General features: G+C 39.9%; 1 long non-coding RNA gene across 1 annotated transcript; it reads right to left on the bottom strand.

Annotated features, from left to right (window-relative positions):
• Positions 1-13,504: 13,504 nt before the first annotated feature.
• LOC105375962 (uncharacterized) lies at positions 13,505-24,332 on the bottom strand. The gene is made up of 4 exons (XR_929442.3): positions 24,263-24,332; positions 23,758-24,168; positions 15,312-15,461; positions 13,505-14,709 (listed from the first exon to the last, which is right to left on the bottom strand). It is a non-coding gene; the product is annotated as an uncharacterized LOC105375962 (long non-coding RNA).
• Between the last annotated feature and the right edge of the window lie 463 nt (positions 24,333-24,795).

The raw sequence follows: 24,795 nt of genomic DNA, 5'->3' as shown, positions 1-24,795 counted from the left end.
TTTCAATTCCTTTCATTTTCTGGCAGAGACAAAGGAGACACGTTTTATCCGTGGACCCAAAACTCCAGCGCCGGTCATGGACTAGGGAAGTCAGCCTTCCCTTGGTGTTTAATCATTGCAAGGACACCTGATTATTCCCCCAGGTTTCAGAGGTGTCAGATCACGCAGGGACGCCTGCTTTGGTCCTTCACCCTTAGCGGCAAGTCCCACCTTTCTGGGGGAGGGGCAGGAACCCCAATCTCTTATCTCTACACCCCAATCCCTTATTTCCACGCCCCGACCTCTTATCTTTGTGCCCTGATCCCTTATTTCCACACCGCGACCTCTTATCTCTGTGCCCCAACCCCTTATTTCTGAGCCCCGACCCCTTCTCTGCTTTTCTGGAGGGCAAGAAGCCCCCACCCCTTCTCCGTGTCTCTACTCATTTTTCTCTGGGCTTGCCTCATTCACTATGGGCAAGCTTCCACCTTCCATTCCTCCTTCTTCTCCCTTAGCCTGTGTTCTTAAGAACTTCAAACCTCTTCAACTCTCACCTGACCTAAAATCTAAGCGTCTTATTTTCTCTGCAATGCCACTTGACCCCAATACAAACTCGACAGTAGTTCCAAATAGCCGGAAAATGGCACTTTCAATTTTTCCATCCTACAAGATCTAAATAATTCTTGTTGTAAAATAGGCAAACGGTCTGAGATGCCTGATGTCCAGGCATTCTTTTACACATTGGTCCCTCCCTAGTCTGTGTTCCCAATGTGACTCGTCCCAAATGTTCCTTCTTTCCCTCCCACCTGTCCCCTCAGTCCCAACCCCAAGCGTCACTGAGTCTTTCTACTCTTCCTTTTCTACAGACCCATCTGACCTCTCCCCTCCTCGCCAGGCCGAGCTAGGTCCCAATTCTTCCTCAGCCTCCGCTCCTCCACCCTATAATCCTTTTATCACCTCCCTCCTCACACCTGGTCTGGCTTACAGTTTCATTCCGTGACTAGCCCTCCCCCACCTGCCCAGCAATTTACTTTTAATAAGGTGGCTGGAGCTAAAGGCATAGTCAAGGTTAATGCTCCTTTTTCTTTATCCCAAATCAGATAGCGTTTAGGCTCTTTTTCATCAAATATAAAAATCCAGCCCAGTTCATGACTTGTTCGGCAGCAACCCTGAGACGCTTTACAGCCCTAGACCCTAGGTCTAGGCCGTCAATCATTGCAGGTCAAAAGGCCGTCTTATTCTCAATATACATTTTATTACCCAATCTGCTCCCGACATTAAATAAAACTCCAAAAATTAAATTCCGGCCCTCAAACCCCACAACAGGACTTAATTAATCTCCCCTTCAAGGTGTACAATAAGAGAATAGAGACAGCCAAGTAGCAAAGTATTTCTGAGTTGCAATTCCTTGCCTCCACTGTGAGACAAACCCCAGCCACATCTCCAGCACACAAGAACTTCCAAATGCCTAAACCGCAGTGGCCAGGCGTTCCTCCAGAACTGCCTCCCCCAGAAGCTTGCTACAAGTGCCAGAAATCTGGCCACCAGGCCAAGGAATGCCCGCAGCCCGGGATTCCTCCTAAGCCATGTCCCATCTTTGTGGGACCCCACTGGAAATCGGAGTGTTCAACTCACCTGGCAGCCACTCCCAGAGCCCCTGGAACTCTGGCCCAAGGCTCTCTGACCGACTCCTTCCCAGATCTTCTCGGCTTAGCGGCTGAAGACTGACGCTGCTCGTAGACCATCACGGACGCCGAGCTTTAGGTAACTCTCACAGTGGAGGGTAAGTCCGTCCCCTTCTTAATCAATGCGGAGGCTACCCACGCCACATTACCTTCTTTTCAAGGGCCTGTTTCCCTTGCCTCCATAACTGTTGTGGGTATTGACGGCCAGGCTTCTAAACCTCTTAAAACTCCCCAACTCTGGTGCCAACTTAGACAATACTCTTTTAAGCATTCCCTTTTAGTTATCCCCACCTGCCCAGTTCCCTTATTAGGCCGAGACACTTTAACTAAATTATCTGCTTCCCTGACTATTCCTGGACTACAGCTGCATCTCATTGCCACCCTTCTTCCCAATCCAAAGCCTCCTTTGCATCCTCCTCTTGTATCCCCTCACCTTAACCCACAAGTATAAGATACCTCTACTCCCTCCTTGGTGACTGATCTTGCACCCCTAACCATCTCATTAAAACCTAATCACCCTTACCCCGTTCAGTGCCAATATCCCATCCCACAGCATGCTTTGAAAGGATTAAAGCCTGTTATCACTCGCCTGCTACAGCATGGCCTCTTAAAGACTATAAACTCTCCTTACAATGCCCCCATTTTACCTGTCCTAAAACCAGACAAGCCTTACAAGTTAGTTCAGGATCTATGCCTTATCAGCCAAATTGTTTTGCCTATCCACCCCATGGTGCCAAACCCATATACTCTCCTATCCTCAATACCTCCCTCCACAACCCATTATCCTGTTCTGGATCTCAAACATGCTTTCTTTACTATTCCTTTGCACCCTTCATCCCAGCCTCTCTTCACTTTCACTTGGACTGACCCTGACACCCATCAGGCTTAGCAAATTACCTGGGCCATACTGCCGCAAAGCTTCACAGACAGCCCCCATTACTTCAGTCAAGCCCAAATTTCTTCCTTATCCGTTACCTATTTCAGCATAATTCTCATAAAAACACAAGAGCCCTCCCTGCCGATCGTGCCCGACTAATCTCTCAAACCCCAACCCCTTCTACAAAACAACAACTCCTTTCCTTCCTGGGCATGGTTGGATACTTTCGCCTTTGGATACCTGGTTTTGCCATCCTAACAAAACCATTATATAAACTCACAAAAGGAAACCTAGCTGACCCCATAGATCCTAAATCCTGTCCCCACTCCTCTTTCCATTCCTTGAAGACAGCTTTAGAGACTGCCCCCACCCTAGCTCTCCCTGACTCACCCACCCCTTTTCATTACACACAGCTGAAGTGCAGGGCTGTGCAGTCAGAATTCTTACACAAGGACCGGGATCGCGTCCTGTAGCCTTTTTGTCCAAACAACTTGACCTTACTGTTTTAGGCTGGCCATCATGTCTCTGTGCAGCGGCTGCTGCCGCCCTAATACTTTTAGAGGCCCTTAAAATCACAAACTATGCTCAACTCACTCTCTACAGCTCTCATAATTTCCAAAATCTGTTTTCTTCCTCACACCTGACACATATACTTTCTGCTCCCCGGCTCCTTCAGCTGTACTCACTCTTTGTTGAGTCTCCCACAATTACCATTGTTCCTGGCCCGGACTTCAATCCGGCCTCCCACATTATTCCTGATACCACACCTGACCCTCATGACTGCATCTCTCTGATCCACCTGACATTCACCCTATTTCCCCACATTTCCTTCTTCCCTGCTTCTCACCCTGATCACACTTGGTTTATAGACGGCAGTTCCACCAGGCGTAATCGCCACACACCAGCAAAGGCAGGCTGTGCTATAGTACAAGCCACTAGCCCGCCTCTTAGAACCTCTCATTTCCTTTCCATCGTGGAAATATATCCTCAAGGAAATAACTTCTCAGTGTTCCAACTGCTATTCTACTGCTCCTCAGGGATTATTCAGGCTCCCTCCCTTCCCTACACATCAAGCTCAGGGATTTGCCCCCACCCAGGACTGGCAAATTTGCTATTCTACTACTTCTCAGGGATTATTCAGGCCCCCTCCCTTCCCTACACATCAAGCTCAGGGATTTGCCCCTGCCCAGGACTGGCAAATTAGCTTTACTCAACATGCCCCGAGTCAGGAAACTAAAATACCTCTTGGTCTAGGTAGACACTTTCACTAGGTAGGTAGAGGCCTTTCCCACAGGGTCTAAGAAGGCCATCATGGTCATTTCTTCCCTTCTGTCAGACATAATTCCTTTGTTTGGCCTTCCCACATCTATACAGTCCAATAGCAGACCGGCCTTTATTAGTCAAATCAGCCAAGCATTTTTTCAGGCTCTTATATTCAGTGAAACCTTTATATCCCTTACAGTCCTCAGTCTTCAGGAAAGGTAGAACAGACTAATGGCCTTGTAAAAACACACCTCACCAAGCTCAGCCACCAACTTAAAAAGGACTGGACAATACTTCTACCACTTTCCCTTCTCAGAATTCAGGCCTGTCCTCAGAATGCTACAAGGTACAGCCCATTTGAGCTCCTGTATAGACGCTCCTTTTCATTAGGCCCCAGTCTCATTCCAGACACCAGACTAACTTGGACTGTGCCCCCAAAAACTTGTCATCCCTACTATCTTCTGTCTAGTCATGCTCCTATTCACCGTTCTCAACTACTCACACATGCCCTGCTCTTGTTTACACTGCCAGTTTACACTGTTTCTCCAAGCCATCACAGCTGATATCTCCTGGTGCTATCCCCAAACCGCCACGCTTAACTCTTAAAGTAAATAAATAATCTTTGCTGGCAAGGCTATGCTGAACCTCCTTAGGCACTCTCTAATTAGATGTCCTAGGTCCTCCCAATTCTTAGACCTTTAATACCTGTTTTTCTCCTTATTCTGTTTAATTTTTCAATTCACACAAAACTGTATCCAGACCATCACCAACAATTCTAAATGACAAATGTTTCTTCTAACAACCCCACAATATCACCCCTTACCACAAAATCTTCCTTCAGCTTAATCTCTCCCACTCTAGGTTCCGACGCTGCCCCAATCCCGCTCGAAGCAGCCCTGAGAAACATCGCCCATTATCTCTCCATACCATACCCCAAAAAATTTTCACCATCCGAACACTTTACCACTATTTCATTTTATTTTTCTTATTAATGTAAGAAGACAGGAATGTCAGGCCTCTGAGCCCAAGCTAAGCCATCATATCCCCTGTGACCTGCACGTACACATCCAGATGGCTGGTTCCTGCCTTAACTGATGATATTCCACCACAAAAGAAGTGAAAATGGCCTGTTCCTGCCTTAACTGATGACATTATCTTGTGAAATTCCTTCTCCTGGCTCATCCTGGCTCAAAAGCTCCCCTACTGAGCACCTTGTGACTGCTACTCCTGCCCGCCAGAAACCAACCCCCCTTTTTCCTTTACCTACCCAAATCCTATAAAACAGCCCCACCCCTATCTCCCTTCACTGACTCTCTTTTTGGACTCAGCCCGCCTGCACCCAGGTGAAATAAACAGCTTTATTGCTCACACAAAGCCTGTTTGGTGGTCTCTTCACACGGACGTGAGTGAAAATGACTACCATGGAAATTCAGAGCTCAGTCACCAAATGCTATCCAGTCCAGGTGCCTCCTTTGATACTGCACAGTAACTGAGATGCTAAGGTAGTGGCTTATTCAGGGGAAGAGCTAACAAATGAGACAACCAGGAAAAGAAGCCTGGGCTCTTGTTTTTCCTCTGTGATTACTTCCTTTGCCCCTGCCTGTTCTAGGACCTTAGCCCTTATTAAAACTTGACCTGGCTGTGCTGAACTATTATTGGGCACACCTACTTACAGCCCTCAGTGGAGGCAAAGCTACTATGGGAAATCCTGGGCTCTTGATCCATTTTACCCTTTGCAGTAGATACCAAGATGCCTGGCTGAGTTCTGGCCAACTGGCCTAGGATCAGTGCTGCTCCAGGCATACAAGCTGTATCATGACAGGGGCAGTATGGCAAGATGTAAAGAGTACTGATCTGGGAATCTAGAAACCAGGCTCTAATTTGGTGACTAAGCCAAGTCAATTCTGACTAGAGCTTGTGCTCTGAAGTGAGGAGCCTTCAGAATCCACTCCATCTCTACCACATAAGCAAATTACTTGACCACTCTGAACCTCAGTTTCTTCATCTTTTCAACAGGAATCATACCTGCGTTACAAACTTCTTGGGGGATTCATGTGTCTATCACAAAGCTGGCCATTAATAAATATTGATTCCCCTCCACCACTTTTAAAATCAAGGAGTTGAATCGGTTGATCTATACAGTTCTGACATGCATGTGTGATGTCCCTTGGCTTCATATTCCAGAATTTTCTCCAGGATCCATGATATGTTTTCCTCTTGGGCCATTTTCCTCCTCAACCCAGCTGTGTTCATTGAAAAGTTTGCAGCCTGGGCTAGTCCACCTGGCAGTTGGCACTATTAATGATTCACCAAGAAGATGGATCCAGGAAGTGACTTATGACAAGAATACTTTCTTTGTGGTTTGAGAGAGGTTCCAGTAGGCTCTAAAGTCAATGGGGATGCCATCCTGAGGCATGAGAACCACAATGGTCACATGGGCAGGGGAAGCTTCACTCAAGAAGGCTGCAGCTGCACAGAGCAATGCCAAGGCTTCATCTCTTAGTATTGCTTCCCCTGGGCTTCAACCTCAGGACTGGTGCATAGAGCAGGGTACTGAGGGATAATGCCAAGATATCAGAGAGTGGAAGAGAAATTCTATACCACCAGACTGGAAGCCAAAAACTGTTTTGTTTACAAATAACAAAAATAAATCTGCATTTGCTTCAGTTGAGAAGGGAAAGATCTTGAAAAACACAGGGTACAAATGCAATGAGACATCAGAATGGAACTGAAATGTTAATCCAGCTCCCTCTCTCTTCATCTTTCGTCTCTACTCATTTTGACCTGATTGTTCTTTTCTCCTACCTTTGCAGACCTGCCTCCTTTTATTTTCTGATTCATGTAACTACAAGTGATGCCTGTCTCACATTCCCGGGTTTATACTTCACCATCTTGAGGAGGGAAAAGAGAGTAAGTCAGCCAGTCTCTCTATATGTATGGATAAATAGGCAGATGTAGATGTAGATACAGACATAGACATAAATATGGATACATATCCTATCAATCTGGATGTCAAATCGACAAACAGGAGGTTCTGAGGCATCCATCTTGGTTCAGGTACTCATCCCTGTTCTGATCAATAACCTCCAACATTTGGTATATTTGTTAACAAGAATCCCCACAATGAATGAGGGGGCAAGAAGTAGGTGAACCTGGCATATGATTCAAAAGGTGTTCACAGCAGCCTAATGAGCTGGGCCACTATGAGAGCTAGAATCATGACTCTAACAGTCAAAGGGAGCCCAATAGTTACAGGATTGTCACATACCAATAGTGAATAAATAGTGAACCTTAGCCAACAGGACTCTTAGCAAAACCTGCCTTGATTGAGCTATCATCATGGACACCCACTTCTGGGCCCTTATTATCATGAATTTTTGCTGCAGCATTTACTCTGAGTTCAGACTGTCAGTAATTCAGACTTGGGTCTTTATCTTTTGTGGTTTCCACAAAAGACTGTCTGCACAGTGCCACAGCTCACCCTCTCTCCCTAACCTGAGCACCTTGTGTGACTTGTATTCTGTCTAGAAGCTGCCTTCTTTCTGAAGAATCATTATTCTGCGGAGCACTGAAAGAAGGAGCTTAAAATACTTTGGGTGTCAAAAGTAGGAGCAACAGATTGCCATTTGTGTGTACTTTCCGCTATCTAAAACTTCCAATTAAAAAATCCTTTATGGGGAGGGAGAGCATTAAGACAAATACCTAATGCATGCAGGGCTTAAAACCTAGATGATGGGTTGATGGGTGCAGCAAACCACCATGGCACATATGTAACAAACCTGCACGTTCTGCACATGTACCCCAGAACTTAAAGTAGAAAAACTTTACTAAACACTTCTTAACCATATAACTACCTCAGCACCACCTTAAACAAAGAAGTACTTATTAACATATCAAGAATTTAACAAACATTCTTCACTGACCTTTCTAATTTTCATCCATTGTGCCTACTGTGTCCAACAGCATTCCGCTGAACTTCCGCACTTGATTTCTGGGAAGATCTGATGCCCTTCAGAAGTTTATCTCTGTGATCTCCCAAGTTCTTGAGTTAAATCAGAGACAACATTGTCCCTCTAATCCTTAATAGTTCTTTCTGAAAATCCAAAATAACTTTAGAAAACGTTTTCATAATGAACTGGAGCAATGTCTTAGCATCCTCTATCACAGTGGGAACAAGAAGAGTACCCACTATCAATGCAGTTGATATTGTGCTGGAGATTCTGTTCAGCACAGTAAGGTCAGGAAAAAGAACTAAAGGCTTCTATTCCTGTGATGATGGTGAATGACTACAGGCTGCTGCTTCCCTCTTCAAAATCAAATCCATGGGAACCATAAAAGTGAAAGGAAAATTTGGGTTACAGAAGCAGCAACAAAATCTGGAATAATATTGAGAAACTCCTGAGGATGTTGAAGTCAGTGTTAAACTAGAGTGAGAGGTGGAGTGTGGAACGATGTGGGAGGAAGGTGACTAAAGCCCTGAGAAAGGATGACCAGAGATAGTAAGAAGACAATTAAGATTTCCGGTTGCATTCTTGCCTCTCCCTTGAATTGCCTTAGAGCCTACATTGGCTGCCTTTTCACTTAGAAATCAGCTGACACAACCCAGTACACCAATGCTAGGGAGTATGAGAGTAATAGAAAAGTCCTTTTAAGATGAGGTATTGATGAAAACTGGTATGAAGAGACCAGCCTCCCTAAACTTTCATTTCTCTGTTCACTTTCACCTCAATATCCCCAAAACTTTTTAGTACAGACTTAGGAGATAACTACTTTCTCCAAATACTGTTTCGGCCTAATGGTCTAAAGTCAAAACCCTGTGGATAGTTTCCTGGTAGAGTGGCAAAGAAATATTAATAGTCAGCAGTGGTGCTATGGTTGTTTCTGTGACAATGTACCTTGGAACTAAGCCTACTCTCTTTCTTAAAGTTTCCAGCACTGACAAAAGACAAGGACTGTGAATAGACCTTTTTAAGTACATACTACCTGACAGAGTTCATGACCACTGAATGGGTCATGAGCTCGCAAACTAAAATAACCAGACTCCTGTATAATACCACAGACTGCAACATATATAATTCAAAGCAGACATATTAGAATAGAGGACAAAGCTTTCAGTAAAGCCTGCTAAGATATTTAAGGAAATGAGAAAAAATATTACCAATATGAAACAATAACCAAAATAATAATGAAAATAATCAAGTGGAAATATTAGCTATAACAAATAGAATGGTTGGAAAAAAGAATACAGTAGGATAGATGCAGCTAAAAATGAATTAATAAAATATAAGACCATATTGAGGTTTCATAAAAGATGATAAAAAGAATAAAAGAAAGAAAATATGAAAGAAAAGCTAAAAGAAATGGATAGTATAAGTAAAGATGCCAACACCCAGAAGCTAGAAACTCTAGAAGGAGAGGAAAATAAAAATGAAGAAAAATATTTGAAGAAAAAAATGAAGTTATATTTCTCAGAATTGAATACAAATGACACAGATGAAAATAACCCATACACTGCCAAATGTAAGAGATTAGGAAAAATTGACACCTAAATATAGTAAAATTTAAAGACATGAAAAGCAAGAACAATTACTAATACTTTTAGAAAAAACAGCTCAACCACAGGAGAATAAACATCAGAATAACATCAGACTTCTCAACAGCAACACTGAATGCAAGAAGATAATGGGATAATGGCATAGCACTTCTAAAGTAATAAAGGAAAGGAGGAAGAATTAAAGAGAAAAAGCCAAAGTAAGTATAATGGCTGGAAAATATTAAGAAAGATGACAAAAATATGTTCTAATATAACAATAATAATAATAAATATAAATGTATTAAACTCACCATTTAAAAGACAGATTCTCAAGTTGGATTCATAAAAGAGGCTTCAAATATATGTTACTAGAAGAGCTCACTGAAAACAAAAATACAAAAAGACTTAAAGAGATGTAAATATATAACAAGAAAATATTAGCCACAGAAAGGCTGCAGTAACAATCCTAATATTTGATCAGATTTAAGAAAAATATGTCTTAAAAAAACTAAAAAGATCTCATATACAATAAAAGGAAGTAATAAAAAGATATATTGATTATAAACATATACACACCTAATTATACAGACTCAAAACATACCAAGTAACAACTAACAAAACCAAAGAGAGATAAGTAATGTAAGTTACCAATTTTAACACACCACTTTCAGAAACTGAAATTTATAGATCAAGTAAAGAAACATATGTAGATTTATCAAAGATATGTAAAGAATTATACAACACACAAACATAAAATCCATAGAATTCTTTTTGAGTTTATACGGAAGAATTTTACAAAAATAAACCTTTATGATGCCAAATTGGCTTGGCATTTCAAGGCCGCTTTAGTATTATGAAACCTTTACATTAACACTTTTTTTTCACAACTGCCATGACTGAGGAAAGAGTGTGGAAATTGCACCCGGGCTTTTACATGCTTTCATCTGGAAATGACACCCGTACTTTCACTTACTTATATTGGCTAAGGAAATTAACAAGGTTATGCTTAACTTCAAGAGGCAGGAAAATAGAATTCTCCCATATCCTGGAAGAAATGGAAAACTAGATGAGTGACAACAGCAATGTCTACTAGGGGCAATTTAATGAAGGTGAAAATCTGCAAGATTTAAATATGCATGTAGCAATATTGATAAACCTTAAAAAACGGCTCTGACTAAAAAAATTAGAAAAGAAAGAAAGAATAAGCTGCAAAACACAATAACATTTACATACATATAAAACTCATGCACATATTGAAAATATATATACATTTTAAAAATATTTTAAGGGCTGGGCGCTGTGGCTCACGCCTGTAATCCCAGCACTTTGGGAGGTTGAGGCGGGCGGATCACGAGGTCAGGAGATCGAGACCATCCTGGCTAACACGGTGAAACCCCGTCTCTACTGAAAATACAAAAAATTAGCCGGGCGTGGTGGCGGGCGCCTGTAGTCCCAGGTACTCGGGAGGCTGAGGCAGGAGAATGGCGTGAACCCGGGAGGCGGAGCTTGCAGTGAGCCGAGATGGCGCCACCGCACTCCAGCCTGGGCGACAGAGCGAGACTTTGCCTCAAAAAAAAATTTTTTTTTTTAAATGGTATCTATAGGGAAAAGGCAAGTAGCAGTAGAGTATGGGATAAAGATAAAGGGAATAAATAAGTCAATAAATAAGAGAAGGGCTTTGTGAGACCAATGATAGTAGCATGCTATGAACAGAAGAGCATGATTAACTCTACCCTCTGATGCTGAATTGTTGTGGTGGTTGTTTTTTTAAGGCATAGGGTTCAGCTTAGAAAAGCATAAATCGACTTCATTATTTTCAGATGACATTAGAATATTCCTAGAAAACCTAAAAGAACATACTTAGAAAATTTTAAAATTAGTAAGTTTATCAGTGTTCTTGGATTCAAAATCAATGTAAATAAATTTGTTGCATTTGTACTAACTGGCATGATTAGTTAGAAAATGTAATTTTATAAAAGATTGTTTGCAATGATATGTTTAAAAAACTTTAAGTGCCTAAAAATAAATCTAACTGAATATGGAAAAGATTTTAATGAAGAAAAATACTAATTTTATTAATTGATTTAATATGATCTAAATGAATGGAAATAAATACTACATTTATGGATTGGAGCACTCAAAATCATAAAGCTGCCTGTTATTACTAAATTGATCTATATATTTAATACAATCTGAATTTTAAAATACCAACAAGTCTTTATACGTGTAGGTAAGGGAAGAGGGCTTAACTTGGCAAAAGAAAAAAATAGAACTTTGAAGCAGAAGGGAAAGAAAAAGTAGAAGGAATAGGAAGATGAGAAGAAGACAGAGAGAAAGAAGAGAGAAAGGAGAAGTTGTTTGGAAAAGTGATTACTGACCCTCACAAATATGAAGAATATTACAACATAATGTGACATCATCACAGGCGAGTAACCAATGGAATTGAACAAAAAGCCAAAAAACAGACCCACACATATGTGAAAACGTTTGTAACAAATCAGATCAGTGGAGGAAAAAATGGAATTCAATAAAATATGCTGAGACAATTGGTTATACACATGGAAATAATTAAAATTGGATCCCTATCTCACTCCACACATTAAAAATAAATAAATCTCAGCCAGATTTAAATGTGAAGGGCAAATCCTTAGATAAAGGGGAGTGTCTTTGTGACACTAAGATATTTAAGAGTTTCTTAAAATGAAATAGTGCAAACCATAAAGAAGATAAATCTGACTTCATTCAATTTAATATTACGTATATTTCCAGGCTCCTAAAGAGAGCAAAAAGACAAACTACAAACAAGAAGAAATTATTTGCAGCATTAAAACTAACAAAATGATAGTATTCAGAATTTATGAAAAACCATAAATCACTAAGAAAGGAAATAACTCGTTTGCCCAAAAATGGGCAAAAGTCTTGAATAAGCACTTATGAGAAAAGAAAACTTGAATGGGCAATACATTTATGAAAAGATGCTCAGCCTCATTGTATTTTAAGGAAATGCAAATTTAAATCAAAATGAGATAACATTTCACAGATGTTAGATTGATTTAAAAAAATGTATGTGTACTACAGTTATCCCTTAGTATCTGCAAGAAACTGGTTCCAGGACCCACCACAGATACCAAAATATGAGGATGCTCAAGTTCCTTCTATAAACTGGCATAGTATTTGTGTATAAACTATGCACATCCTCTTGTATACGTTTGTATTTTATTTTATTTTATTTTTTGAGATGGAATCCTGCTCTGTCACCGGGCTGGAGTGCAGTGGCGCTACCTCAGCTCACTGCAACCTCTGCCTCCCAGGTTCAAGCAATTCTCCTGCCTCAGCCTCCTGAGTAGCTGGGACCACAGGTGTGTACTACCACAATGGAGATGGGGTTTCGCCATGTTGGCCAGGCTGCTCTCGAACTCCTGACCTCAGGTGATTCACCCACCTCAGCCTCCCAAAGTGCTAGGATTACAGACGTGAGTCACTGCACCCATCCTTTCCTGTATACTTTAAATCATCTGTAGATTATTTATAATATCTAATACAATGTAAATGCTATGTAAATAGTTGTTATATTGTTTTTACTTTGTATTATTTTTATTACTATATTGTTATTTTTTCTGAATCCATGGTTGGTTGAATCCACAAATGCAGAACCCATGCATACAGAGGATCAAGTGTAATATCATGTTGGTGCAAATATGAAGCAACCAGAACACTTATACTTTTCTGGTAGCAGTGTAAATAGGTACAACTGGCAGTGCCTAGTAAAATTAAATATGCACACACAACATTACCCAGCAATTCTACTCATTTTATATCCTAGAGAAACTCTTTCACATATGACCAAGAGACAAAGAATACTCAGAGCAATATTTTTGTAATAATAAAAAACTCAGAAACAAACCATCTGATCATCACCATCAAAACTGATACAGGTTGAGTATTCTTTATCTGAAATGTTTGGAACCAGAAGTGTTTTAGATTTCAGATTCTTTTCAGATTTTGGAATATTTGCATATACATAACGAGATAGCTTGGAAATTAGATCCAAATTTGAACACAAAATTCATTTATGTTTCACATACTCCTTATATACATAACCTGAAGGAAGTTTTATACAATATCTTAAATAATTTTGTGCATATAACAAAGCTTGTGTATATTGGACCAGCGGAAATCATAGTGTCACTATCTCACATCACCATCATGGCTGACTCTCAATTGATATGCTACCAATAAGCGATCATTTTTCATACTTTTTCACACATAAGTACTTAACAGCAAAAAGTAAGACATGCCATTAATACAGTGAAAAAATAATGTGTTCAGGGTAACTAAGCAGCCTAGTAGCATCACCAAAATACCTGTATGAGCTGTTAAACAATGCTAACAACAATGACAGGCTTTCAGTCTCCACCTATGATGGTGTGTTTTGAATAAAAGGTTATTGTACATTGTATTTTATTTTTTCAGGTGAGAAAAAAACATCAGAAACAGTTGAGGGATCAGGAAATAAATACCTAGGGATGAGAAGGCATTCCAGTGAATGGTTTTTTTAAACTATTTCCTCCAAAGTCATCTGCCTCATTAACAAGGCTTTATCTTAGAAGTCTTTTCTTAGATTTTATACACTGACACGATTTCTTGTTTTGTTATGAATGCATTCTGCCCTAGTCCTTCAAAAGCCCCATCACACATTTTCACCATGTCATCTACAGGCACTTTTTCTGATGACAATGTAGACTTTATCATCACTATTTACCACGATCTCCTTGATTCAGAATCATTTCAGCTCTTTCACCATTGGTCAATGAACAACTGTAGCTTCATTGTTGATATGAAACACTTCCTCAATATTTGCTTCTCCCAGTTTACCGATGAAATCTGAAGGTATATTTTTTTGCGTATGCAAGGAAGTCATACATCATTTTTTTTCTCACTTGACATATGAAATCCTTCAAAGTTACCATCTTGGTCATCATCACTGAATATGGTTCCAGGCCAGAATTTGTGCCAGGCATGTCCAACTGTGTCTTTAATCACTGTGTTCCAGGCATTGACAACAGCATATAAAGCATCCTTCACGTCAAACTCCTTTTGAAAACCTTTCACACTCATGTTTCTCTGTTCACTGCTGTTAGCCTACCGTTGAGGAAAGTGTTTTTATATTTACTTCATTGATCTAAGAGAACTTGGTCACATGGCTGAATTAATGAAATCACATTTGAGTGAAAGTACATGGCATTAACATTATTTTGATGAGAATTTCAGCTGAAGGATGAACAGAATGGTTGTCCAGTAATAATAAAAGCTTGCAGTTGTCATCTAGTCTGGCTTCCCTGCAGTGAACATGAGCCACTGGTACAAAATGTCTGTGAAACCAAACAGAAAAGATGTTCTTGGAAGTATATGCCTTTTTGTTAGCATAATACAATAATGAACTGGTATGAAATTCACTCTTTGAAAACAGGGAGGATCTAAGTTTTCGCCCGACACAGCAAGTTTACACTTCGGTGTGCCTGTTGCATTAGCACACTCCAGCACAGTCATTCTATCTTTGGTATCATTAGTTCACGTCGGGGCTGTCTCATCAGATATAGTCTATGTCTTTTTGGGGCAGTTACAACAACAGAGTGATGTTTCATTCACATCATATACTTGTTCTGGCATCATTTACATCAGTGATAATCTTGGCAAACCCATCAATGAATTTGTCCACTTTGTGATCAGCAGTTGCTTTATCACAAGTCTTTACAGATTTAATGCTACGTCTTTTCTTAAATTTCTGCAACCAGCCTGTTGAATAGTCACCGTTCCCTTCAATTTTCAGTTCATTGTGATAGATCTATGCTTATTTCATAATCAACATACTATTAAATGGTATACGTTCATTGTGACACTGATCCATTATTTTAATATAGGACCAAGATCTTCAGTTTCAGCTTTATGCAGTATTTATCTGTTTTTCACTAACCTCCATACATCACTTTCAGCACAGAACTTCAACAGTTTATTCTTCTGTTCTTCAGGTCATATATAGTGGTCATTCCAAAACTATACTCTTCTGTAAGATGTTTCAGGCTTACACTGCTGCATATTTTCTCCAGCAACTTGGCTTTCTGTGCTGTAGGTAAACATAAACACTTCCTCTTTTTCTTATCATTGTTACCCATAGGGATATCTGCAGACATTTTTGACATTTTCCACATCTTTATACCAGAAAGCAGAAAATAAGCAAAAACAATAATAACAACAACAACAACAAAAAGTGAGTAATGCACATAGGTCTTGGCCCCACGTAGGGCATCATGTGGAACCTAGCATTGGCATGTCCCGCCTGCATATGTGTATGTGCCATTTTATTAGCCTTTGTGAGTGTGCTGACATAGGGGAGTCTGGGCATGTGCAGAAAAGATATATTGCAGCTGAAGTAGGAAGGGAGAGCCTTTATTCTCTTAGGAATGTGGAATAAATTGTGTTTTGTGCACCTGGCTTAAGGATGTGGCCGATCACATGAGGTCATGTGTGGAATTTTCCACTTGTGTCATTGTGTTGTGCTCAAAATGTTTTGGAATTTGGTGCATTTTGAACTTTGGATTTCATATTAGAAGTGTTCAACCTGTATATTAGTTGGAAAATATTCATATAAAGGAATATTATGTAGCATCAAGCGATGAGTTATGGTTACACACAACAGAAATTGGTCTCAGGAATACACTTTATTGAAAAACCAAGTCAATCACAATGAATATAGAGATGCTCCTCAGCTTATGATAGGATTACACTCTGATAAATCCATTGTAAGCTGAAAATATACATCAAAAATTCATTTAGTACACCTAACCTACCAAACATCTTAGCTTAGCCTAGCCTGCTTTAAACATGCTCAGAACACTTACATTAGCCTGTAGTTGTGCAAAGTCAACTAACACTAGGCCTATTTTATGATAAAGTGTTAAATATTCATGTAACTTATTAAATGCTGTGCTGAAAGTGAAAAACAGAATGATTGTATGGGTACTCACCATTAACATACACGGCAGAAAGCATCATCGTGAAGTCGAAAATCCCCAAGTTGAACTATTGTAAGTTGGGGACTGTTTTTTTTAATACAATCCCATTTAAGGATACAAATGTGGTAAAGGGATAGGGAAAGCAAAGGGATAATACTCATGAAATTCAGGCTTGTAGGTACCTTGGGAGGAATGGGAAGAATATAGGGGCTTCAAGGGACACAGAAGAGGCTGCAAAAATACAAGTAAGATTTTCTTTTCTGTAAGTTGAATAATAGGCAAAGTCCTGTTATATCATTATAAAATATGTACCTGCGTTTTAGCCTTTGTGGTTTACTTTCCATTTTCTATATCTTTTACCCCTACAATTGTCAATGGGTTATTCTCAAATTTGCCTATGACAGAATTCTTTCTGTTCTCTTCAATATATTTTCCCTTAGCTCATTTTAATCAAAAATGGAATTTTGCATCTTGGAAAAGTTCAATTCAAAGACTGTCTGTATTTGGTTAACAGGTAGCATGGCCAAAAATAAATAGGTTTCTTCAGGACAGATACTTACAGGTGGTGAGAGGCTGGATGCCTCCTTGACACATTGTGGGTCTCAGAAGTATAACTCACACAGGGCCCACACAGACTGAATTTCTCTACACAGTACCTGACAGGGTTTTTTAACTCGAGACTTTATGACAAATGAGAAAGCAAATGTTTTAAGAAAGAGTGAGCCTACAACCTATGATAATAATTCTATGCAATTTGTTGTATATTTGTATGCACAGGTGGCAACCAATAGAAAGGGAGATATAGTTAAGTCTTTCCCCTTACTGAGAAGCAACTGATGACCATAAGCAGGGAGGTAAGGAAACAGCCTTGCTGTTGGTGCAGTCAATATCTTTGTCATCATGCCGTTTGGTTTGTACTGTGGTGTCTGCTTCTTGATTCAGGTGTTGACTGTTGTCTCTGCATTTTTTAAAATAAAGTTTTAAAGATCTCAGTCTTCATCTGAAGATCTTTATGGAAGCTTCTAGTTCCCTCAAATAGCTCTACAAATTTTGGCTTTGTTCAAGTAGTACTGCAGTAATCTAACTCTCTATCCTGAACACTGCAGGTCTGTGTTCTTTTGGTGGTCAACCAAAATCCCTTTGTGAGGTCAACATTCCTTGAAGGAAGGACAATCTGATCTGAGGACTGTCATTGATTGGGGTAGTCAGTACTGCTTAGGCAACCTTCCAGGGTATTGCTGTTTAATTATTTCATTCAAAATTTAACAAACACTTATTGAGTATCTATAGAACAGGCACTTTTCATTTTTCTAAGCACAGCTTATAGTCTTCCTTCTCCCAATAGTTCCTCAGTATTTAGTTCTCCCCTTCAAAAGGAATGAATGTATGAATGAATAAATAAATAAAGTGCTTTAAGAATTAAAGACAGGAAGAGAGATTTTGAGACAGGGAAGGAATAACATTTGCTGCTAATGGGTTAGGCTCTTTACATTCTATATATACTGTATTACCTTTTCTATCTAAATAGAGTTTAGAAGCCAAGTACCATTGGGCTTAAGGAAGAAGTATTTGGTGGCTGCTGCTCCTTTCCTGGTCACTGCTTACTTTGATCAGTGTAGTAAGCAGTAGCTTGGCAATTTCATCCTTTTGGTCAGGTAACATTTAAAAGAAAAAAGAAGTAACAATAAAAGAGTGAGGGCTAACTTGGCTTCTTTACTCAGAATAACTCGTGTACAGTAATTTAACTTTTCTTTATTTTTCCAAGACAAATCATGGATCCCTTTGACAGATGTCCCTTTCTCTGCCCACTGGCTTAATAATTGTCATTTAAAAGTTGGCAATAAGTTGTGTGTGCGTGTGTGCATGCGCTCACACGCGTGTGCTTGTGTGCATGTTGGGGAAGGATCAGAAAAGAAGGGAAGAAGTTTTAATGGGGAAAATGTTTTTTATTGATTTACTTCTCGAAGTGTGTGCGTTACACATATGTGATGGGGAGAGAATGCCAGTGAATACAATCTGGGGCACCTCTTTTAACTATCATGCTTTACACACATGAATGTGTACACTGCAAGAGATTTTATCAGGCATTTCTTGTGTACTTCAAACCTGAGGTTAAGAGCTGAGAACCCCGTAGGGATGTTGTGAAGTTTGAATGCGGTTAACACAGTGATTATCAAACTTTAATGTGCACTGAATTAGAGAAGGATCCTAATAAAATACACATTCCAATTCAGTAGGTCTGAGGTGGGGCCTGAGGTTCTGCATTTCTAACAAGCTCCCAGGCCATGCTGACACTGCTGATCTGGAACCACACTTTGGGGATGAAATGTAGAGAAAAAGACCAGCACCTGAGTCAATAAGTGGACATCACAGTAGTAACCAACCTGCCTACACTACAGAGATACTGACCACACCACAGAGAGGCGATTCCCTTGGACACTGTGGTTAAGGTCATCACTTGCTTCTGAGTAAGAAGGAAGTGGAGACTTAAATGTACCCCCCTTTAGACTTGCTGTCCCCTACCTATTCCATCATTCACAAATTACTTAGAAGTCCAAAATTTTCTGAAATTTTGGCTAAAATTCTTTCAGCAATAGGTTTCAAATCTCTACACTTTTGCTTACACACACAACAGGGCATGTTGAACAATTTACTATAGCTATTGCTGTGTGTATGTACAAAAAAACCCCCACATTTCCCCCTCAGAGAGGAAGACAAGTGCTATTTAAAGTAAAGTTGGCCAATTTTTGACATAATATGGAGATTATTTTTTCATATCTTTCAATATCCATGATACTTAATATCCTCTGCATTCAGGGTCCATCCCATGTGACTTGGTTTATCCAGCTCTTTGTTGTTTTCCTTCTGTTTTAGGCAGAGCTGCCTACCAGACACCAGGAAGCATGAAGCCAAAGCAAATAGAGCAGTAGACTCACGCCAGTGTCCATCTCCCCTCTGAAACCTTTCCCTGGCACCTTTGCCTTCCCCAACCCCAGCCACCATTCCTAAAGAATAAGTTATTTTTTGCTGCCACAGGCCTTCAAGCATGTCCTCGGGGAGACTCTGCTGAAATTTATTGTAGTCATTTACTGATGTCTCCCCTACTCCACTATGTTGTGAACTCCTCAGAGAGAGACTTTATGACTTATTTATCATCATATCTCCTGAGCATAGCAGTGTTTGGCACAGAAAAGGTACTCAGTAGGCTTTGTTGAATTGAATTAAATGAATTGAATTGCAGGTTAAAGAAAAAAAAATTTCAAGTTCTTTGTAGAAAGTAAGAATTGTAGCTTCTAAAGTGAGATGGGGAAGGGTCAGATCTAGAATGTAGAGGCGTGAAAGATCACCTGTGCGGGGAATGACAAGTTATTCAGTCTTGCTGGTATGAACGATGTGCATGGGTGGGAGGAGAGAAAGGTAGGGAGGAAACAGAGCCTCAGGGGCTATGGACCCCCACTAAATTATTTTGAATATATCCTATGAGATCTGGAGAAGCATAAAACAATTTTAAACTGTAAGCAGCTTGATGCTATTTTGTTTATAGACAGAACACTGGCAGTAAAAATTAGGATAGTTGGAGCAGATTGAGACTAGAGGCAGGGATTTAATAATCAAGACCCTGGTCCTTGGAGGGTTGGAAGGATAATGTTTAACAGACCCGATGTAAACATGCAAATGTGCCTGCATCTCTAGTACCATCCTAGTGCTACCCAAAGATGTTTAATGATTTTCCCAGAGTTTTGAGAGCCCATTGGGTTATGTCTGAAAAAACAAAAATGGGCCTCTCCTCCAAAGACATGAGAAATTTATTTTGTGTTAAAATAACATAAATATATGTAAGAATATGGGGGTGGCCATTTTGGCAAAATGCATTTCCCATCAGCCTACTTGATTTCACTTCCTGCCTTTCATGAAATATACGTATATAGAAAGCATGAGACTCCCCACTGGGCTCTACATTTATGCGCATCTGCCGTCCAATTTACAGCTTGCAAAGGAGGTGTTAATTAGTTGGCAGAAGCACCTGAACAGGGAGTACTGGGTTGACTGAGGGGGTGGGAAGGTCTCTGGCATTTCCTTATTCACATAGGCGGAAAAAAAGAAGAAAGGAAACTCACATTGCTGTCCAAAATGGCAACCTCCAAGCCAAGGCAAGTGGTGCAATTATGGCAGGTCCACTTTTCTCTAAAAAGAGAGTCTATTTCTGGAGTCATGTGATTAATATCAGAGGCTCATAATAATTTACTTTAAGTTTTATCTTTATATCCTACTCTCTGCATTGTAAAGATCTTTCAGAGAAACATAGGTAAGATTTTTGCTATTGAATAGAGTAAAATGAACACTGCAGAAGGAATAAGACTAATTTCCACAGGAGGAAAAGCAGAGGATATGTCTTACAAGAGAAAGGGCAGTGATCCAGAGCCAGGAGAGTCTAGGAGGTGGAGGGTGGAGAGGGGAAGTCACAAATCCAGGTGGAGCTCAAAGAACTTTTCATTCGTGGTCAATAAAAATGTTGGCTGAGTTAAAGGAGGTGGTTCCAAGCAACCATTTGTTGGGGGTGGTGGGAGGAAAGCAAGGCTAAATGAAGATCAAATCCAGCTTTCTTCAATTTGTATATCAACAAAATTCATCTCATCTCTGTAGCTCCAAACCAACAAACAGTTGATGAGACAAAATGAAGAAAGAATTACAGGATGTGATCTGGTAAAATATTTTCATTTTAGAGCTGGCACAACTGAGAGGCAGAGAAGGGAAGTAACCTCCCCAAGGATACTGATGGGGGAATCATGCATATACACCTTGGGTTCCTGACTTTCTGCTCATTATTACTCTTGCCAACACATGTTTTTCCAAAGGTCTTTGAAACATTCCTGGGGACGGTACTCTCCCCTTAAATGTGATCCAACCTAGCAACTCTTAACAGCACTGAACTGTACGGTATTGTTGTGGAAAGAGCAGCAGGGCCAAAGCAAAAAGACATGTCTAGAAAAAAGATATGGGCAAACAAAAAGCTTGAATCACATAGTTATTTATGTCTCTAGTGACCATCAAGAGGAAATCAATCAAAAAGTTGGTGAAATAGAAACTTGCAGTTGGTTAATAAATATTGCATGCACCAATGGGGCAGAAGACATTGTGTTAAAAATTCAGAGGTGCTCAGATTATATATATAAAGAATACAGGGAGAGTGCTTACTTTCTACTTTGGAAAATGCCACCGAACCTTCATAAAATACAGCTTGCACTGAAGCAATGCAAAAAGGAAAAAGCAACATAAATTGAGCTTTTAGCACACTCAGCAAGCACTCTTTCAGGCTGCCAAAGTACAAGGTACCTGAACAAAGAGAAAAGAAATACTTTTTATCCAATCCCAGGATGGCTGCCCCTAGCTCCTGATGAAGTTGAGGTGTCCAAACAGAGAAAGCAAACAGAGTAGAGGAAATTCAGTGAGGCAAACAAACGAGCGTCCGGCCTTTCTAGGAGATCAGAGGGCTCCAAGCTCTGCTGCTTCCTTTAGCAAATGCTAATGAGCCCACGAGAAGACAAAACACAATGTGTTTTCTGAACACACATCCCAGACAGAAAGGAATTCTTGAAGTATGTAATGAGGAGCAATTAGCGAGGACTAGAGAGGAGCAGGGATAGGATGTATAACTGGATGATCGAGTTACACTTCCCCTAAGAATTGTGGGAGGTGGCCTGCTTAGGGCTTTTCTGAACTGAGCCTGTGCTCACAAGCTTGAGGATAGACACTGGAAAATCAAAGGAGATTTTCTTACTCAAGTTTACCAAATATTTTCTCTGCTCATTGTTTTAAGCCCCCAGTTCTCAGGCCAGTCTGATGGTAGATTTTCAGTAATATTTACCAATGAGGACACGTAATGAAATGAAGTGATAAAGGAGATACACACATTTCCTGTCCCTAAACTCACCCTCTGTACAAGTTGTGAAGGTTTTGGCAGAGGTAGGGCAGGCAGCCTTTAGTTAAAAATAAAGCCTTTCTAGTTGTTTTGTACTAGTTCCACATAGCCTGTAAAACCCAGAAAAGGGAAACCAGAGTGGCGTTTTCACTGCTTGAGGATTCATGAGGTGCAATAGAAGATAAAGGAGAGAGGCCCTCCTATAGCCTATGGGAACATGTTTTGGGGAGGGTTGGTTCAAATCCAAGATCCTCTCCTCACTAGCTATGCAACTTTAAGAAAGCCATTTGATCTTCTGAGTCTTGGTTTGCTCATCTGCAAAATGGGCCCGAATCATCCTGGATTATTGTAGGGATTAATAAGATAATGGCCCCAACTGGCTTTTCTGAACAACATGAGGCAACAGGCTAATACATTCATTTACCCAAATGTGTGCTTTAGAGTCAGTTTACTTTGGAGGGTTCACCAGGAAACTGCATTGCTCAAAATCAGACGTTCTAAACATGGGAGATTTATTGGGATTTTTTTTTTATGGCCAAGGTGGGTGTTTGGCAATGCCTACTTTTAAAGCTTTTCAAATTAAAATTATTGTGGCTAGGCATTAATGGTATCAAACTTTGGAGCCATTCATCCTTTTTTGGAGTGTTCCTAATGTACTTTTTTCATTTTGTAAATTGTGATAAAACATACATAGCATAAAATGTACCATTTTAGTCATTTTTAAGTGTACAGCCAGTGGCATTAAGTCCACTGACATTGTTGTGCAACCATCACCACCATCCACCTCCAGAAGCATTTTATCTTCCCCACCTGAAACTCTGTATCCATTAAGCATGAATTTTCTACTCCCCACTCCCACCAGCCTATGGTGACCACCATTCTACCTTCTGTCTCTGTGAATTTGACTACTGTAGGAACCTCATCTAAGAGGAATCACACAATATTTGTTTTTTTTTTTTGGTGGGGGGAGTAGGGGGCAGGGGGGAAGACTGGCTAATTTCACTTAATGTCTTCAAGGTTTATCTGTGCTGAGGCATGTGTCAAAATTTCCTTCCTTTTTAAGGCTGAATAATATTTCTGTGTGTGTGTGTGTATATATACCACAGTGTTTTTATCCATTTATCTTTCAATAGACACTTGGGTTGCTTCTACATTTTGGCTATTGTGATAATGTCATTATGAACATGGTAGTAACCAGAATTTTATCTTTTAAGAAAAAGTATTTGTTCCAGTTCATAGGTACTCTCTTGATTCATCTCTGATAATTGCTGGGTTGGTTTTCTCTTCAAGCAGATTGCCTCCTCAGGTTCTTAACATCTTACAAAAATGTCAGCCCTAACCCTAGCTCAGTCAGCTGTTAAAGCATATGAATTTGCAATTAAGAAGAAAAAAACTTAACAGCTGCACACTAGATACTTGTCAGAGAGTATAATCTGCAATTTAATGCACCTCAGTACCCTTCAAAAGATTTGCTGGGAAACACATACCTTATTAAATGAGAGCTGCCTGAAGGTTTACTCTTTCCAATTTAGTCCTAAATTAAGCCAGGCAACCATGGAGCTCAGTAACTGGCAGCTATTGATTAAGTCTTCATACAAGTGATCTGCATCATGCCTTGGTAAAAGTGTTGCACTTAGCTTTAGTCTTATTCATCTGTGGACTTATGAAACCGTATTGTATTTGCCGTGTAGATATTTTTCAGGATGTTGTTCATTTTCTCATATTGTGCCCTCTTTAGAAGGACCCATGGAAGAAATAGTTCTTTGGTGCCAGCATCAGCTATGCCTTCCTGGAACTACTGGTTTATTTTTCTTCTTTAGGTACAGAATTGTGTAACAAATTGTGTTCTGATCATCACTTTAGCTACTAGAAAGCTTCAATACAGATTAGTTACACACCTGTAACAAAAGCCATGGAAATGTATTTTATTTATTAAATATGTATGAATTTTACATAATAAACCCACCTCTGGTTTTATCCTACACTTCTTACCATAAGTCTACCCTTTGTGACGATTTTCTCACTTATTCCTTATTGAGGTTGTGTGTTTGTGTAAATAACTCTGAAAGACAGGCAGAGAGAAAGAGAGCAGATTTCTTTTAAGTTGCAGAGAAAATGAGAATGTATCATTCAATGTACTTGGCTGCAAACAGAAACCAATTCTAATTAACTTCCATACTAATTAATTAATTAATTAAAAAAGGAATTTATGGGAAAGCTATTAGTTTAGCTCACAAAAATTATTGGGAAAGGTGGGAACAAGGATAAAAAAATATAGGCAGTATTCCAGAGAAGCTAGGCAATTGGCGCTGCAGGCATGCCCAGTCACAGGAACAGTCAGAAAAGACACTGCAGCTTAGCCCTGTCTTGTCTGCAGCTTTGCATAATTCTCTTCCTGCTAAGGGCCCAGGAAGAGTGCTACTTGTTGGGGTCTTTTTACTGGGGCTTGTGGGGCTCTGCTGGGATTTCTCTGAAATAGGATGGGTATTTAGATCATTTGTTGCCCATAAACAATAAATATCCAC

This window comes from Homo sapiens, chromosome 9, assembly GCF_000001405.40.
Source record: "Homo sapiens chromosome 9, GRCh38.p14 Primary Assembly".
Classification (NCBI taxonomy): Eukaryota; Metazoa; Chordata; class Mammalia; order Primates; family Hominidae; genus Homo; species Homo sapiens.
This window is presented reverse-complemented; position numbering and strand designations above follow the sequence as displayed.